The 19,217-nt window shown below is 36.6% G+C and overlaps 1 long non-coding RNA gene across 1 annotated transcript; it reads left to right on the forward strand.

Annotated features, from left to right (window-relative positions):
- The first annotated feature begins 320 nt into the window (after nt 1-320).
- Nucleotides 321-17,336, forward strand: LOC105371661 (uncharacterized). Its single transcript, XR_001737813.2, has 3 exons — nt 321-490; nt 16,591-16,661; nt 17,251-17,336. It is a non-coding gene; the product is annotated as an uncharacterized LOC105371661 (long non-coding RNA).
- Nucleotides 17,337-19,217: the final 1,881 nt, after the last annotated feature.

The following is a 19,217-nucleotide window of genomic DNA, read 5'->3' on the forward strand; positions in this document are numbered from 1 at the left end:
CAAATTGCAGTGAGAGAACATCTTTTAGCCTTTCGGTGAAAACTAATTGTGAAGGCTCTTTATTGTATTACTGCTCATAATTGCATTGTGGCCAGCTTTATGCATCAGAAAATTCTATGCAAAATCGTCTTCTTTGCAAATTCCACTCATGATTTATAGTTCTGCCTTTTAGAGCCATGTGGGGAAGCAAGCAGGTTTATATGGTTTGGCTGTGTCCCCACCCAAATCTCATCTTGAATTGTAGTTCCCATAATCCCCACATGTCGTGGGAGGGACGCAGTGGGAAGTAATTTAATCATGGGGGCAGTTACCCTCATGCTGTCATCCTGATAGTGAATGAGTTCTCACAAGATCTAATGGTTCGACAATGGGGCTTTCTCCTCTTTTGCTTGGCAATTCTCCTTTCTGCTTCCATGTGAAGAAGGACACATTTGCTTCCCTTTTTGCCAGAGTTGTAAGTTTCCTGAGGTCTCCCCAGCTATGCTAAACTGTGAGTCAATTAAACTTCTTTTCTTTATAAATTATCCAGTCTCATATATATATTTTTATTAGCAGCGTGATAATGGACTAATACACAGGTTATGTCTCCATATACAAGACCAATATATTCCACACAGGTTATATCTAGTAAAATATAGGGTGCAAAGTGAATAGGAAATTGGTACATAGGAACCTTCACTTTGGCTGTCTGAAGGAAATGTTGTTGGCATGCAATAAATATTCATTAAGCTGTGCACACTGATGGGCACTGGGAAAGATTGTTAAACTGTGTGAAAAATATACCTTCTGAATTATGTTGCTGAAATGCATAAAATTCTTTCAAAGTTCATCCAGGTTTTATAAAAAAGTATCTTCCCTTATATTTCTTTGTATTTTCCCACCGTAAAATTAAGGTCAATAACCACAAGTGTTCTCAATTGAAGCCACACTTGCTATATCCAGCTACTCTTCTCTACACTCCATTTGTTCCAGGGGACCTGAGCTACTCATCATTTTTCTAGAACCATTTTGGTTTTATTTATCTATGTCTTTGATTCTTTTCTTCTAGTATTTTCTTCCATAGCTGTTAAAATTTTACTCATATATGACCTTGTGAAGCTATTCCCTGACTGCAGTCAGAGAAGAAACCTCATAGCAAACTGCACCATTATTAAAAACAACCATTCTGCTTTTTAATAAATACACTCATACACATGTGACTTACCATATTGTCTCATAAATATTTTTTCTACCAGAGGTCATTTCTAATTAGCATTACCTTCTTATGAGGAAATAAATAAATTGATTGTGTATAGACTCTGCTCAGAGAAATGAATGCTCCTCAGTCTAAATGTCTTCCCAAAAGAAACTGAGTTCTGCAGACCTACTGCTTGATAATGGTCAGAATATATTTCACTAAAGATGGGGTTGGAGTAAGAACTGTGAAGAGATATGCTTTAGAAAAATAGTATGTATGGAAGTCTAATCTCTGGTTCACGTCATAGAAATATGTCAGAATTTTAGGTCATGGATCAAGATTGAAAGAGCTAGAAAAACATTAAAAATTCTGTAATGTTTACATGCAAATCTTTTTATTTTTTTAAAGGAATTTCTTCAGTTAAACAAGGTGTATTTTTCAGCAACAAGCTATTGCTAATGTTCACCTCTTGCTCTCTTGTCATCCTTCTCATATACATACCAATGCCCATCCAAAAATGTACTATTAGTGAATAATTTTGATTTAATTTGATCAGTGGAAAATTCCACCCTGGATTTTGCCCTCATGACTGTCCCTGCTACACAGGCCTCTTTGCACAATACACAAGTCTCAGACCAACAAGGCCACATGGAACAGTTTATCTGTGACCACTGGCCTGGACTGCATCTGAGAAATTTAAAACTGGCTATATATCTAGAGAGGGGAAGAATAGAACCCTGGAAAGATGGGTAGTCTATTTATAAAGACTATTGAAGACCACTGAATTTGATGCCAAAGCACACAACTTTCCACTATCACATGAGTTGCTCCAATCTAATATTATTCTACAATTGTAATAAATGCCTTGTTAGAAAAGGTAAAGAGGCTAATCTATCTTACTTTTAAAAATTTAGCTAAGAGTGTCAAAAAAAAAAGGAGTTGAAATGGAGTATGTATACAGGGGTTCAAGTGATTGAGGAGCTGATCCAGGAAAAAGATATAACCATGAGGCAGGTGGCACTTAGACATGGTTGCATAACAGGTGATGTCTCTCCCAGCAAGAGACTGTCCAGAAGTATACAGTGTGAAGGCCACCATCCAGCAGAGGAGGACAGTGGAGTTCCTATGGAAGGTGGGAATTAGAGAGGAGACTTACTTCTCCAGGTGATATCCCTCAGCAGCACACTAGGGAGTCTCTCAGTCACAGAGCCCCAGAAGTGTAGAAACAAAGCTTGGGGTTTATCTTATCCATTGCTAGCAGGCGGATGGGGGTGGTGGTGAGGTTTGGCAGGATATGTAAAGCAGGCGGGCCCTAAATGGCTAAAAATCTGCTTGCTTGGGCTATTTTTAAATAATTAGATGTGTAAAAATTTGAGTTTAGAACTGGCAGAATTTTGAGCTAAGGGCTTCAGCTTGCAAGTGAAGGAATAGAGAACATAGTGGCCAATAAACAGAGGCCATCTTAGGCTTATTTCTGTAACAATAGAAAACAGAAGATTGCATTTCATCTCCGGAGACCATAAGAGGACACAGACACAGCATGAGTCCCAGGACTGTATCTTTAAATATAAAACAGGAATGAAGAAAATAAGGTGGGATCTGAGCCTGAGGCTTAGTAGTGGAGAGGCCTTAAAGAGTCTCCAGCAAAGGTCTGTAGAAACCACCAAGAACCAGTGACCTTCTACTAAAGAGAATGTTCCTTTATGCTTTTCAAAGCCCTTCTCCATTACTTCTTACTTCAGTCATGCAGGTACAGTTCTTTTCCAAAAAACAAAACAAAACAAAAAACAAAAAACAAAAAAACCCACAACAACAACGAAAACACAAAGAAACAAACAAACAAAAAAACCCCACAATTTTTTTGTCAGTTCAAAGCATCTTTTTGTCTTCCTCAAAATATCTAAGAATTTCTGTAGATGTTTACCAGTTCATGCTTGATTCGTGCTTGATTTTACACAAAATTACAAGTATAAGTATATTGTATCTGAAACAAAGACTATAATATTTTGGTTTATATTTAGTTTTTAACCCTTAAAATGTTTATTTAAGTATACCATGTGCCAGAATACATTATTCCAGAACTTGGGAACAGGACTTGATGAAAGGACATAGCTTCTGTGCTCATAGAGCTTATATTAATGGGTGAACTAAGACTAAGGAATGTAACTAGACTGTCTTTCTGCACAGCTTGAGTGGATGAAATAGTACAGCTCCAATCCATTCTGTAAGTGTAGTTGAATCTGCACATGCTAATAAGTGTAGGGAGGACAGTAGTTCAGTGACAATATTTCTATCCATTATTTTGGGTTTCTCCTAGAGTTTCAAGTCTCTGGAGGAAAGTCAGTCTGGTCCAGTTCACTTCTACATAGGTGAATGAAGAAAAAAAAAAAAGAAAACTAAATTCTGACTGATGCTTGGCAAGGAGAGGCCCTGACAAAGTTCCTGGCCTCTATAAAGTCCAAATGTGCTAACGCAGATTCACCCCTTGTATTAGGGAATCAGAAAACAAAGTCATTCACTCCACAGTGTAACACTTATGGGAAGATTCACACCTAATTAGGCCCTTTGAGTTAAAGGTCTATCAGGTTTCTGTTGCTGTATGGGCAGGAGGTTGAAAAGATTCAGGTAGCATGTTCTCCAGGCCATTGAGTGCCAAAGGAATGTTTCTTGATTGTGAAGTGCCTCAGAAGTGTAGGATAAGGCTCTGACAACTTCCTAGGGCAGGCAGTTGCTGCCTACTTCAGTGAAGCTTTATCAAAGTGTTAAGTCTTGGGTACAGAGATGTATTAGTTTTCAAGGGCTAACATAGCAAAGTACCACAAGGCCAGGTATGGTGGCTCATGCCCGTAATCCCAGCACTTTGAGAGGCTGAGGCGGGTGGATCATTTGAGATCGGGATTTCAAGACCAGCCTGCCGAACATGGTGAAACCCCATTTCTACTAAAAATACAAAATTAGCCGTGTGTGGTGGTGCAGGTCTGTATTTCCAGTCACTCAAGAGGCTGAGGCATGAATCGCTTGAACCCAGGAGGGGGAGGTCGCAATCAGCTGACATCATGACACTGCACTGCAGCCTGAGAGACAGAGTGAGTGAGGCTCCATCTCAAAAAGAACAGCAACAACAACAAAAACAAAGCACCACAGATGGTTGGCACAGACAACAGAAATTGATTGTCTCACAGGCTGGAAATCCAAGATCAAAGTGTCAGCAGTGTTCATTTCTTCCAAAGGCTCTCTCCTTGGCTTGTGGATGTCTATCTTCCCTCTCTACATTCACATGGTCTTTCCTCTGTGCATATCTGTGCTCGAATCCCCTCTTCTATGGACACCAATTATATTGGATTAGGATTCACCCGTATGATCTCATTTAACCTCAATTACCTCTTTAAATGCCCTATCTCTAAATAAAGTCAAATTGTTAGGTACTGGTGACAATTAGGTCTTCAACATATGAATTTTGGGAAACACAGTTCAACCCATAATAAAGGGTCATGACTGAATTCTCCATTCCACTGGTGCCACATCTCCCTAATGAGAACATTGTGCAGTATTCTTAAGGAAAAGAAAATTGGCAAGCATCAAGTTCATTAAAGATAATATAACTAGATTTGGATAAGGTCATGGAATGGAGCCAATAATGGTATTATTACCTTTATAAGGGGATGATGAGACCAGAGCACTTTTTCTCCACCATGTGAAGATACAGAAAGGTGTCTATCTGCAGATTAAGAAAGAGGGTCCTCACTAGGACTCTCAGTCAGCTTGGACTTCTCAGTCTCTAGAACTGTGAGAAATAAATTCCTGGTATCTAAGCCACCCAGTTTATGGTAGTTACTGGGTCTGAGAAAACTGAGACAGAGGTCTGCTCTTCACAAAACCAATAATCCTATTTTGAGTAATACTGATACATTCTTCTAAAACAATTGGTACCCATGCCCCTATACTCAGAAATTCTATCTTCTCTAATGCCAAAGAGTGCAATTCTCAAAAAGAGAGGGAAATTCCACAATTGTAAGGTGATATTTCTGTGAGATATTTGACATCTGCTCTCATTAAAGAAAAAAAAATTACATACTTAATTTCTGTTGGGGCAATTGCCCTTATGTGCACAATTCATATGCAGTTGAAGATAGTGATGAGTGTGTTCTAGGCAGAGAAGAACAGTTATGAAAGCATAACCACAGAGACAGACAGAATACAAAGAACTGCAGTATTTAGTATGAGAGAGGTTTAGGGAAGGTATAGTCTGATGGCAAGAGGTGAGAAGGAAGGAAGAGAAAGTAATTCACAAGGACCTGGGATATAAAGCTGAAGAATTTCAGATTTACTCTGAAGGCTTTTTCTCTGTTGTGGTTGTTTTGTAAATGTAAATTTATTTTTGTTTAATCACAATCTATTTCTCAGAGTATCTACCTCTTGGAAGTTACATGGAACAACAGCAGTTACAGGTATTCACTGTCATTATATTTTAAAAGCTTTAAGTTTATGAAAATATATTATGTAGGCACTCTAAGTATTTGATGAATTGCAGTGAATATTATAAAATTATTCAACAATGTAACCTGTGCACTAGAGGGATGAGAGTTAAATGATTTAATTTTTATAAGCAAGAAGAGAGTATAAAAAAAAATACGACCCTTGAAATATGTTGTGGAATTCTCAGTTGCAAAGATCAAGTTAAAACTTAATTAAAGATAATTCTTAAAGTTTTTAAATGAATGCTATATTAGATTTTTTTTAATGAAAATGGTCTCTGAATCTATTTGGAAAATACTTTGAGACTATGTGATAAGTGATCAATTCAAATTTAAGCACTGAGTCAAACTATGGAGGTTTTATCTATATCCCTAAAATATTTATGGATCTACTTTATTCCTTATGAGTGAATTACCGCTGAGTTGAGTTCTTCACTTTTGGGTTTAACTACGAGTCTTTCAGAGAAAGCCTTCCCATGACAGGCCTGAAATGTCACAGTTCACCTTTTTTGCATCCTTATCCATTGGCTTCATCCTCACTTCATTTATTTCAACAGAATGCTGACATTTGTCTAATATTATTTCTAGGTTATGACTCCCAGGCTTTTGACCTTTATCCTCCAATCTGAAATGTCCTTTTCATAGGTCATCTCTTGATATAATAGAAAATCTCTTTTCAGTAGAATACTCCCTTGCCCATACTTTCTACATGTGGGCAGTGGAACTGGAAAGTTCCCTGTCAATTTACCAACTTACTTCATTAGTTGTCTTATTTTAATGAAATAGTATTATATGATAAAATAATTATATATAATGTTGAAGGAAAAATTATACTGACACTTCTTAAAACACTAAAGAAGACTATTCAGGACTGTTACAATAGTGTCAAGACTATAGCAATAGGGGAGAAAGGTGAGACTCAACTACAAAAACATAAGGACAAGTGAAGATTTATAGATAGCAAGCATACTCAAGTGGTCAGTGGATGGAAAATTATTAAAAGGAGACTTCAGGGATAGAGGAATCCTAGCTCAACTGATTTACTGGAATTCTTGCTGAAAGCAGGCTAGAGTGATCAGATATCAGGTGTGGGGGGATTCTTACTAAACTAACTTAGCAGGATTTATCCTAAAAGTGGCCTCATCTGGTTGAAGACAGACCCAAGAATGAGGCTTACTTAAAAAATGGGCTTAGAAAAGCCGAACTAAAATTTTGTGATCTATACTTCAGTAATCTATACTTCATCTTTCTTTTTATAAGAAATATGTGGCCACACACTTATTTGTTTTTTAATCCGTAGGCTAATCCAGAGGAATTTGTTAGATAAATTATCAATATTTCTGTGGAAACTGCTCTTCAACTAATGCAAAATAAAATTAGGTTTTTGGTCAAAACATTCAAACTCAACCTCACATATTCATCTTTTGATATTTGTTTCCGATTTTTAAAAACACATTATTCCTTGTCAATATGTGTGTAAAAGATTTTTATGACTAGAAATTATGCTTGCTCCCTCAATGTCTTTGAATTTTAATTTTTTTCCCATTTAAACGTTCTTTCTTTAACTCTCCGTCTAGATTATCTGACATATACATATATATCTGAGCTACTTAGATCGGGCTGAAACTCACTGATGATTTATTATCCTCTTCAACTAATACCATATAAACAGTGATATGCCCCTCTTTGAAGGGGATGTTTGGGCTAAATACAATATAGTAAGGAATTATATTGGCAGCCTATATTCATCTATCTGGTTATTTTATGTTCTTTTCTTATACCCATCTCGAAACCTGTGAACACTATTCTAAGGATAATACATTTGTCTTTATTTTTCCGGTAGTTTCCTCCTGGAAAAGCCTATTTTTGCATAATTAGAAGGAAAACAATCTTGACTTGTCTGACCAAAAGCACAAACTTTCTATAAACATCAGAAAAAGTATTCTAAACTACTTTGATGCTTTTATTTATTTTCCTAAATTTCAACAAATAGTCTGCAATTTTCTGGCCACTTGTGATATACCACTGGGCTTGGTGAATCTTGGCCTCTGATATTCTTGTCAACCTGTGCAGCAGAACTTTTATAGAAATTTTCTAAATCAATGTTGAATAATGTCAGAGGCTGCAGTTTGGATGGCCTCCCTCTCATATCATAAATGCCACTGTTAACACACCTTGTATCACTGTGCTGGTTATTGCGTCTTCTTCCGATATATCACTAAAATAAGCAGGACAGCTTCTATTTCAAAAGCCTTAGAAGTCGTTGCTCATAACCAAGACCATTAGATGAAGAGGCATTTTTACTCTGTAAGCACTTGAGTGCATTGCTCAATTCTTCTGTCTGTTATTCCATGTGTTTTTTTTATTTCTTGTTGCCCGATATTCACCTATGTATTTTTCTCTTCAGCTCTGTGAAATAGTCTTACATTCACAGCCAAACATCATAAAAAAGTTGTCTTCCATTTCCTTCTCCAATAGTACAATGATTGTATACTGGTTCAATTATCCCAACAAAATCCCAAATAAAATTTTAATTTTCAAACTAATGTGCAATCTGAAAGAAAAAAAATTACTGGGGCCAAAAACTATGTAAAGTCAGGAACACAAAAAATTAAGGAAAGTACTAAAGTCAGCTTTGACTGTAAGAAATTGTAATGTGCAGGGATCCAGCTGCTCCTTGGGTAACCTCTCTAGTATGGTATCTGCTTAGCTGTTCTTTGTCAGGGTTGGATATTTTGTCGTAATCCCAGCACATTTTACTGATAATCACAAGCCTTCTCACTGTCCCTGGTCTGGAAACTTTTTATCTGCCGCTACCTTGCTCCAACTCCAGACTCTTCCATCCCACTGTCTCACCACTTCTGAATATCATGAAGGTCCAAAAATGTTCACCTGGTTTCTTTATACTATCTACTAGGGTGAAGGATTCTGTAAAGTTGTCCTTACGCCCAACTATCTTCCTCAGCAATTGCTATTCTATTAATCTTGTGTGATTTTGAACCCAGTACCGTCCTAACATGAGAATTTTCTAAGAAACAAAGAAGAAAAGAAGAAAGCAAGCAAACAAGAGAGGGAGTGGGGAAGGAGAAAAGAAAAAATGAGGGAGGGAGGGAGGGAGGAAGGAAGGAACGAAGGAAGGAAGGAGCAGGGCGCAGTGGCTCATGCCTGTAATTCCAGCACTTTGGGAGGCCGAGGTGGGCAGATCACAAGGTCAGGAGCTCCAGACCAGCCTGGCCAACATAGTGAAACTCCGTCCCTACTAAAAATATAAAAATTAGCCAGGCATGGTGGCATGTGCCTCTAGTCCCAGCTACTCAGGAGACTGAGGCAGGAGAATCGCTTGAACCCGGGAGGCGGAGGTTGCAGTCAACGGTGATCTTGCCACTGCACTCCAGCCTGGGTGACAAATTGAGACTCTGAAAAAAAAAAAAAAAAGAAAGAAAGAGAGAGAGAGAAAGAGAGAAAGAAAAGAAAGAAAGAAAGAGAAAGAAAGAAAAAGAAAGAAAGAAAGAGAAAGAAAGAAAGAAACAAAGAAACAAAGAAAGAAAGAAAAACAAGGAAGGAAGGAAGGAGAGAGAAAAAGAGAAAGAGAAGAAAGGTGGGAACTGCTCACAGACTGGTTTTTGTACATCCCCCCGCACCTATTTGGATCTTTCCAGCCACCCTGTACCTCAGGGTGTTGGTTCTAAGGTAGAAATGAAGGAATTTTGTCTCACAACTTATTCTGATGCTCCTTTACCGTGATGTTCGCTACCTTGCTTTTATCTTCCTTCTCTCTTTTAAACCTATCTCAGCCCAAAACATGAGTTTCTTTCTCCTGTGAGTTGATCTCAATTTTTCCCTGTTCTCCAATCAAATGTAACCAATACTGTAAGCCTTCATTCACTTATTTGTTCAAAAATATATTGAGCACCTGTCGTCAGCCAGGACTATTCTAATTCCTAGGGACTTAGTGATAAAGAAGATAGATAATATTCCTGACACAATCTAGCTTACTTTGTAGCAAGTGGAGATAGATAATATACAACTTTAAAATAATATAAATAAAGGGAATATCAGATGATTAAGTGCTATGCACATGTTTAATCCAAGATAAATACATATAGAGTAACTTTAATTCTCATAACAATCTTATAGATAAGTAATGTTTGTGTCCCAATTTTTAGGTGAGGAAACAGTCTCAGAGAGTGTTAACCAATTTGGGAAGAGTCATACTCAGATAGTGATATGGTTTGCCACTCAAATCTCATCTTGAATTGTAGCTTCCATAATCCCCATGTGTTGTGGGAGGGATGCCTTGGGCAGTAATTGAATCATGGGGGTGGGTTTTTCCCATATTGTTCTCTTGATAGTGAATAAGTCTCACAAGATCTGATGGTTTTACAAAGGGCATTCCCTTGCACATGCTCTCTTGCCTGCCACCATGTAAGATGTGCCTTTGTTCCTCCTTCACCTTCTGCAATGATTGTGATGCCTCCCCAGCCACGTGGAACTGTGAGTCCATTAAACCTCTTTGTTTTTATAAATTACCCAGTCTTGAGAATTTCTTCCTACTAGTATGAAAATAGGCTAATACAGATAGTATGTGGTAGAGCCAAGGTACAAATCTAAGCAGTATGACTCCAGAGAAACTTCTCCTGACTACTAAGCTATCCATCTCAACAAATGGGAGGTATAGTATTTATAAATATTAGTATTATGATCATTCTCAGTCTCTTCTCTTACACTAAACTTATTCTTCTCATTTATTTGTGTAAGATTTACTCTTAAAGATTTTTATTGCACTTATTTCTGGGCACTTGACTTTCTTAGCAATGCCTGTCGCTGTTTTATGGCATTGTCTTTGACGATTTGCATAGATATTAGAACTTCCTTCCAGCCAGAAATGTTTACACACCATTATTCCTCCGTTAAGTGTAAAACCTAAAGTACTTTTATTTCTTATCCTCCTTTCTTAGTATTATGTTCTACCCAACTTCACATTATACTCAATTTGTGTAGACTTCCATAATATATCTTTGGTTATTTTCTATGTCATCAATAGTTTCTCTCCCTAAATAAAAAGCACCTTTGTGGTGGTTATTCCCATTTTTACCTTGTCACTATATTTAATCACCATGTTTCCCTGTCCAAATATGTCTCTAACTTTCACCGAAATCATGAATAGTCACAGAATTCTTTGAAGCAATTCCATGACCTTTCCTTCTCTCCATAGATCATATTCAGTAAGAATCATCATTTAGCATCAACTTTAGGGACAAAATGCCATGAAATAGTTTTAATATTCATGTCCTCCTTTTTATTAATGTAATTTCCAAAACAGATTCATCTTTTCAGTAGACCTTAAGTGCTCATAGACCTCCTTGTTTCCAGTGATTTCAAACACAATACATTGTCATTGATTCTACACTAACTGAAATAAAAAGTAGAAAGAACAATCTGGCAGCATAAGTTCTCACTATAAATTTTTCTCAAAAGGTCTTCAAAATTATTTAACGAGGTACTTCTCTTGTCTCCTGCTCAATTGCATTCTCTTCCTCACCCTTTCCCTGCTTTATTTTTTTCCTTCATAATTCCCATTCTGTCACTCCTACCTATATTTCTCCATTATATCTAATGTAAGAATGGGTTTATTTGCTTTTAATCCCCTCTAGTATCCCTCCACTTAAATGCTGCCAAATGTGTCTGAGAAGCTCACTGTGTTCCTCTCAGCAGCTGAAGGAGCAACTGGCGTTCAGAATGCAGGTATCCCAATTCTGGCGATCTGCCTCTGATACTGCCACTCTACATTTATTTCTTCACCTGATTCTGCATTACTTGTAAAACCAGTCATTACTATTCTCTATAGCTGAATCCATTTCTTTGTATTAACGTAACTTCTAATTTAAGTTGTTATTTTTTTCCTTATAAAATGCTACAGGTAGGTAAAAATTGTTTATGATTTGTAACATTCCCATAAGCTATTATTCCCACTTACAAAGATTTAAAAGAAGAAAAAGAGGTCAAATTACCTTCTCAAGCTCACCAAGCCAGAAAATGACTGACAGGCCTAGCATATGGTTCATTCCTCAGAGAACCACATCACTTCTAAGTTGCAATATAATAAATGTTATGGTTTTAAAACATACTACACTTAAGAAAAGTCAAGGCACTACAACAAAATATTTATAAAGATTTAACTGAAAGTGATGCTATGCTTTGCAAAAATGCTTAATTTCAACTCCACATAATATTTCCTTTACTTAAACTTTCAAAAAAAAATTTTGCCCTGAAACTTGTTGATGAGACAAACATAGCTTTTCTCTGGTGACAAATAAAATGATGCTATGTTGGTTCTTCATCACAATCATATCATCATAAAAGTGTTGGCATAATTAAGGATTTTAGTAGAATTAAACTTAAAATGAATATTCATGTGATTTTGAATAAATTGCTGAAACATTTCCTATGAGTACTAGACTTAATTCACAGGTAAATTAATTCAAAGCATGTAAATTTAACTTTCAGTACTTCAACTTACATCAAAGTTAAAATGAAATTTTAAATAAATCTTTCTTAATAATATGAATAGAGTCACATCAAACAAGCAGCTTCTATGTTACTTCTGGCAATATCAATCCCCTCTCATTTAAATGTAATAATGTTTAATAACTATTTCATTGTAGAACTTTCAACAGGATAATAATCATAATTTCTTGTAAAAAGAAGTTTAAAATTAGTTGTCAAAATTCCATTCCAAACATCAACTTTTGAAGGATTCTAAACACCATATTAGGTTATCTGATGATATATTTTCTTACAAGCTATGTTTGGGGCAGTAATTAAGACTTTATTTTTGTGTTAGTAAGAATGGGTAAGATTATATTGTAGTAACAAGTAACTCCCAAACCTCAGTGACTTAAATCCAAAATACTGCAGTGTTAGTTTGCACTACATGTGTAGTAAGGGGAATGACATAAGGCTCAGATCATTGCAGTCCACTCAGGCCCTGTACCAATAGGGCCACCTCATCACAATTGCTCTTTCTGTCTGGGAACAATGCCGCACCACTGCTCACCTAACCTCCCTCTTCCCCAGATGCATTATATTGTTTTTTTTTTTAATTTTCTGTTTAATTGTCTTTCTTCTTCCTTATGGCTCCCAATCTCTCTTCTTATCTCTAACCCCATAGCTCCATCATACATGATATATCATTTTCGGAGTTATTTATTATTTTTTCTTTTGGAGGTTTCCAGTCATTATTAATAATAGCAATGTGCTATATTTCTATCTAAATCTAGTAAGATACAATGAGTTCTGAAGTTTGTTACACTGTGAATCAACTGCTCATCCACAGAGTGATATGCCACTTCTGCCCACAGGGCACTGGACATAAAAGGTCACATGATTATACCCAACAACATTGACCTATAAAACATAATCCTGCTGTAAGCCTGGAGTACAGAGACAGAAATATTTTGTGAACAGTATTACTTGCTGGACAGTCGATTGTCTGGCCATCTGTTTGACTCATTTCCCCTTCCAAGGCAAAATATACCTACTCTCTCTCAAAGGAAGATAAGTCTCATAAAGTTAATTTCAAACCTCAAAGTCCATGTTTCCAATTAGCAGTAGTCACTTGCTTGGGTCGAGATATGACCCCTGAACCTTGAGCCAGACATACATTACAAAACTTTATGTCCTTCCCTCAAATAAATATGCAATGATTGACAAAAATAAGCCTCCCATTCACAAATGGGAAGAAAGGAAATACACAGATGTTATTAGTCTACATCAATTCTGAAATTCAGAGGGCAAAATTCATGAGAAGACCCTTTATTTGTTGTGGTCAATTTCTCTCAATTAGGCTTGGTTCTAGTCTTGGGAAGTTCCGGTCTTTGGTCTCTTTGATCTTTGGCTCTGCCTCCAAAGATATCTTTCCTCTTTTGTTATCTCACTACATCTGAAATGGGCATTGAGAAGTCTGACTTCTTTAGGGGCTAATCAGCTTTCTTAACCTGCTTCTGTAGAAAGTTGAGGACACAAGAGTTAAGTTTTAAATAGTCACAAATGTTTTTAGCCTAGGATCAGAGTTTCTTTGATAGTGTAACACTCTCAATAAGTTAGCTTCAGATCTACTTGATGACAGCCAGTTCCATGTGCCATGAGCTACAGTCAGACTCAATTTCAAAATATGCCTCTCTCTCAATTTAACTATAGGTACTTTGAGACTTTTTTGGGCTTAGTGAGAAAGTCATACCCTTAGTCTTTTTTGCTAAGGCATTTGTCCATTCAAATGGATATACTTCCCATCATCTTAATCCACAAAGAGATTACAACAGTGAATGTGATCGCAAAACCCTTAATTGCATTCTTGCTGCATAGCTGTTGTAATTGACCTTTTTTATTCAGAGAATTTCTCTATATTAATTTGTACTGGTCAGCGTTGACAAGTAACTGCCTTTTCCAATCCTATGACTTCTCACATTGTTGGACTCTCTCTAGACTTTCACTCCTGCTTACAAACAAGCCCAATTATTTTCTGAATCCATCTCTTTCTTGTGTTATCTACTCAAATGCAGCCAACAGTAACCAACATACATTTCTAACATTCTATTTCTCAAATACTTTTCCTATAGTTGCAGGGTCAGAAGATAAATTATCTACATTGCAAATTATCACATTTGACAGTTTTAGCATGTGTTTCTCCACTACACAACATAAATAAATGTCTTTCTAGTTACTAACAACAGCTTTCTCACCACCTAAGCAAATCACTTGAAGCAATGTAAAATACGTTATTTTGTTATTATAGTCTCTTGCTTGTGGTGCCAAATTTGTATCAGTTAGAATAGGCTACTTTAGGCTATAGATGAAAAAAAGAAAAAGATAAAAATTCTAAATCTCAATATTTTAAAAGAATGGTTTGGTCTTTTTTCCCTTCTTATAAGTACACTGTGGTTTGGCAAGAGTGTTGTACACATAATCTTCATTGAGGAAATTTGTCTGCCAGAGCAGACAATCTTAAATATTGCTGTTCACCTTATTTATTAGTTTACTGATACTTTATTTATTAGTTTACTGATGATTATTTATTAGTTTTCTGATGCTTTGTAAAATACTACCACAAACTCAGTGACTTAAAACAATATACTTCTGTTGCTTCAGAGTTTTTGTGGGTCAAGAACTGAGCACAGTCTAACTGCATTCTTTGCTCAGGGTCTCACAAGATATCAGTCATGGTGTCAGCTGATCTGCATTCCTTATGGAGTCACGGGCCTCTTTCAAACTCATATCGTTGTTGGAAGAATTCAATTCCTTATGGATCGAGGACTGAGGCCCCATTTTGATTGTTGACTGCTAGACAGAGGATGCTTTTAGGTCCTAAGTGTCACTCACAGTTTTTATCACATGTCTCTCTCATGGACAAAATTATAGCTCACTTCATTAAGGTAAGGCCAGCAGGAGAATATGTCTTTTAAGGGATAACTTGAGTAGGTCAAGCTCACCTAGAATAATTTTGGTTAATACAAAGTCAACTGATTAGAGACCTTAATTACATTTACAAAATCCCATCAACTTTGCCATATAATATAATCTACCACAGGAATGATAAGCCACCATGTTCACAGATCTTGTCTACATCACAGGGAGGGGAAGATCTATGGGAATTATGCAAGCAGCAGGAATCTTAGGGTAATGGATTGTAGATTTCTGCCTACCACGCATTATAAAAAGAAACATGAGAACTTGCAAGTTTTTTGCCCTCACACTCAATGTCTAGCCCAGAACTGACTTCTGCTCACAACCTATTGGCTCAAACTACTCTCATGGCTACACCAAACAATAGTAGGTCATAAATTGCAATCCTAACATATTTGTGAGAATATTTGTCGTTTAGTCAATGACTCCTACATAGCCTACAATTAGAAAATGTGTAGATACGATTAACTTAAAGGACCTATGTCTTTCAAATATAGATAACATAGCTTCCAAACCAGTGATATGAGAAGGCAGTATTTTAGAGTTTTTGTTTACCTTCCATTAAATTTTTCTAGGTGTTTCGCACAGGTCATGATTATACAGGAGAAGAAAACTCAAGTTTTTTTTTACATTAAATAACTTCTCTTCCATCATACTGGTTATTAGTAGTAGAGTTAGCATTTAATCTAGCTTGTCTATGTTCTGTCTACTGCATTGAGCAATTGCTGTGTATGACGATGGTATAAGAATACTGTCGTGAATTTTCAGAGTACTAGAAATTTGAAGTAGAGATTTCTTAAGTTTGATAAGTAATGATCATTCTACCATTTTTCATTGATCCTTTTATTTATAAATAGGTATAGATCACCCATGGTTCAGGATTTAACTTTGAAGTAGAGATAAAACAATATCAAGACACAAATTAGTACTTTAAATTTTTTCATCAAACTTATTGATGAATGTGTAGAAGGCTTTTTTGAAGTTTCATACTTTATAGTAAAGACAATGAGGCAAGGACTTACCCTTACCTCCCTAACATCTGTTCTCCCCTCACTTTTAGTAAGATATTTGGTTGTATTCTATATTGCAGCAACCTTACTATATTCTGCAGGTGAAATATATAAGTGGAAGCCTTCAGGTCTCTGGTTTAGCAGCCAAATCTAATTCTGATGCACTTCTCTACCAATATTTTTGTCATTATTCTTGGAGTCTTCATTATCAGTGAAGACAATTTACTTAACATCCTGGCTTCTCAGTTTCTTAGCCTCATCAACTCGAAAAATCTGTGTTTTTTTTTTACTTGACCTCATCCAGTCATCCACATCCCTATCTTGATTCTTAGCATGAGTTTGTTTCTCAAGTCTTTGTTCAGTGATTGTTAAAACATTGCATTACTGCCTCCCAATTGTCACATTACTGATGATCCTATGTGCTCTCTGGGCCTTTGCACTTGATATTCTCCTTGCTTTTTTCCAGATATGTGCATGGCTGTTTTTCTTTCAGCACAGACATCACCTCCTAAGAAAGGCATTCCGTGCCAGACTGAGGTAAAGTGACTCATTTGCCTGATTACATTTATTAACAACAGTTTTTGTGATCTAAAAGTATTTATTTATATGTTTATTTTCCATTTGCCTCCTATAAAATAAGGAGAGTTTTTTCTGTCATTTTTTTCCACTGCTGCATACCAAGAGCCAAAAATGGTGCCTTATAAGAGGAAACTAAATAAATCCCTATTAAACAAATGCATTATCATATGGCTTATTAATATATCTGTAGAAAAGTTACCTTGTAGAAATGGTTAATAATTAATAATTAATCAATTAATTAATTTACAATTAAGTGGTAGAATTAATTAATTATTAAGTGTATTTGAATGGAAAAGGTGAATAAGAGGAGTCACAGCTTTCTTACACATACCAAAATTGATACATCCTTTATGATAAAATTCTTAATAATGTCAAGAAAATTTAAAAATTAAATTATTGCATGGAAGGTATTCACTTAATGAAAAATATACTTACCAACATAGAAATTTGTACTCATATCACATAAAATTCCATTTGGATTTTCATCAAATGTGAGTATATTTTGAAGAGTATAATTTATGTAGCACAGACAAAATTTATTTTGCAGAGACATGAGAAATACCTCAAAGTGATACGAAGTTGATAGACCCCTGCCACACAAATACAACACTGAAGATGGATTTTCATCAAACGTGGAGGGTATGTTGGAATACAGGCCATGTAGCATACATGAAAGTCACTTTATGGGTAACTAGGGCACTGAAGAGAAAGAGGTAGATATCACCTCAAGCAGCTGACTCAGAGTCACAAAGAGATACTTTTGTAGTGGCTGATTGAGAAAGATGGGCTGGACAAATTCAGAAGTTGTGGACAAAGAAAGCAAATAGCGGTTTCAAGTACAAGCTCCAAATCTAAAAGCACAGAAGGAGATTCTCCTAATTGCAAGCATCAATGTGAATTTAACTCTTCTACATTGCCAACCTATGTAGAAATCCATGGGTAAGAGAGTGTATAATGATGGCTAATCATGGGCCAGAGGCAAAAAGGGTAGATGACACCAAATTTTTAAAAATCATCAGGGATTTATATTTTCCTAAAAATACTAATATTCTGTGTAGCAAGGTGACCCCTTAGGGAACAAGGTCCCTTTTTTGAAGTCAGTATACATCAGATTGGAAACTGCCACCCACAGTCGGTGAAGAGGGGCAGGAGGCCAGTTGAGTGAAATGTACCCAAGAAGTAACTGAGAGAGAAACAGCATTATATAAGAAACGAACTTTTAAAACTGTGCAATGGCTTTCTTACAAATAAAGTGATGATTGAAAAGGGAAGGCTGCAGCTGAAAGATAAGATATAAGAGTACTTCGGTCAGAGAGACAGTTTGAGAAAAAAGGACGGGAAAATGTTGGTAGCCAAGGTCCCAACTCTCTAGCAACAGAAATTGAGCTGTGTAAATTCCACTGCTACCAAATAATGGAATGAAATGCAAGTATTAAAAATGATATAAAACTACATTTATTGATTTACAAAGATGTCCCTGATATATTGTTAATAGAAAAAGTTTAAAGAAATACATATAGTATTCTCTCCTTTTTTTAAATACCAGGGAAAAAATAGAGGAGCATATCCCAATATTAAAACCTGATAAGTCGGCCGGGCGCGGTGGCTCACGCCTGTAATCCCAGCACTTTGGGAGGCCGAGGCGGGTGGATCACGAGGTTACGAGATAAAGACCATCCTGGCTAACACGGTGAAACCCCGTCTCTACTAAAAATACAAAAAATTAGCCGGGTTTGGTGGTGGGAGCCTGTAGTCCCAGCTACTAGGGAGGCTGAGGCAGGAGAATGGCATGAAACCAGGAGAGGGAGCTTGCAGTGAGCCAAGATGGCGCCACTGCACTCCAGCTTGGGTGACAGAGCGAGACTCCATCTCAAACAAAACAAAACAAAACCAAACCTGGTAAGTCAGAGGGGCAATTTAATCTTTTTTATGCTTGAATTTTCTATTTTCCTTCAAACTAAATATACTAATTATGTAATAAGAAGTACTCAGGCTGAGTGTGGTGGTTTATTCCTGTAATCTCAGTACTTAGGGAGGCCAAGGTGGTAGGACCACTTGAGACCAGGAGTTCAAGACCAGGCTGGGCAACACAGTGAAGCCTCATCACTAGAGAAATATTTTAAAAATCAGCTGGGCCTGGTGGTGCATGTCTGTGGTCCCAGATACTCAGGACACTGAGGTGAGAAGATTGCTTGAGCCCAGGAGGTCAAGGCTGCAGTGAGCCATGATGATGCCACTTCACTCCAGCTTGGGAGACACAGCAAGACGCTGTCTCAAAAAAAAAAAAAAAAAAAAAGAAAAAGAAAAGAAAAAAAAGAAAAATGAATCACACTTCAACAATTGCTAGTCTGGAATAAATCATTAAAATGATTCCTATGTATCCTCACATATGAAAAATATACATTGAGACACACTAGATGAGAAGAGCAAATCAATATCAGGAGTCATAATCCTTATAGTATGTGTCAGGGATACTCTAATAGAAAATAACATCCCGATGGTCAGCCTGAAATC

This window comes from Homo sapiens, chromosome 1 (assembly GCF_000001405.40).
Source record: "Homo sapiens chromosome 1, GRCh38.p14 Primary Assembly".
NCBI classification, from domain to species: domain Eukaryota; kingdom Metazoa; phylum Chordata; class Mammalia; order Primates; family Hominidae; genus Homo; species Homo sapiens.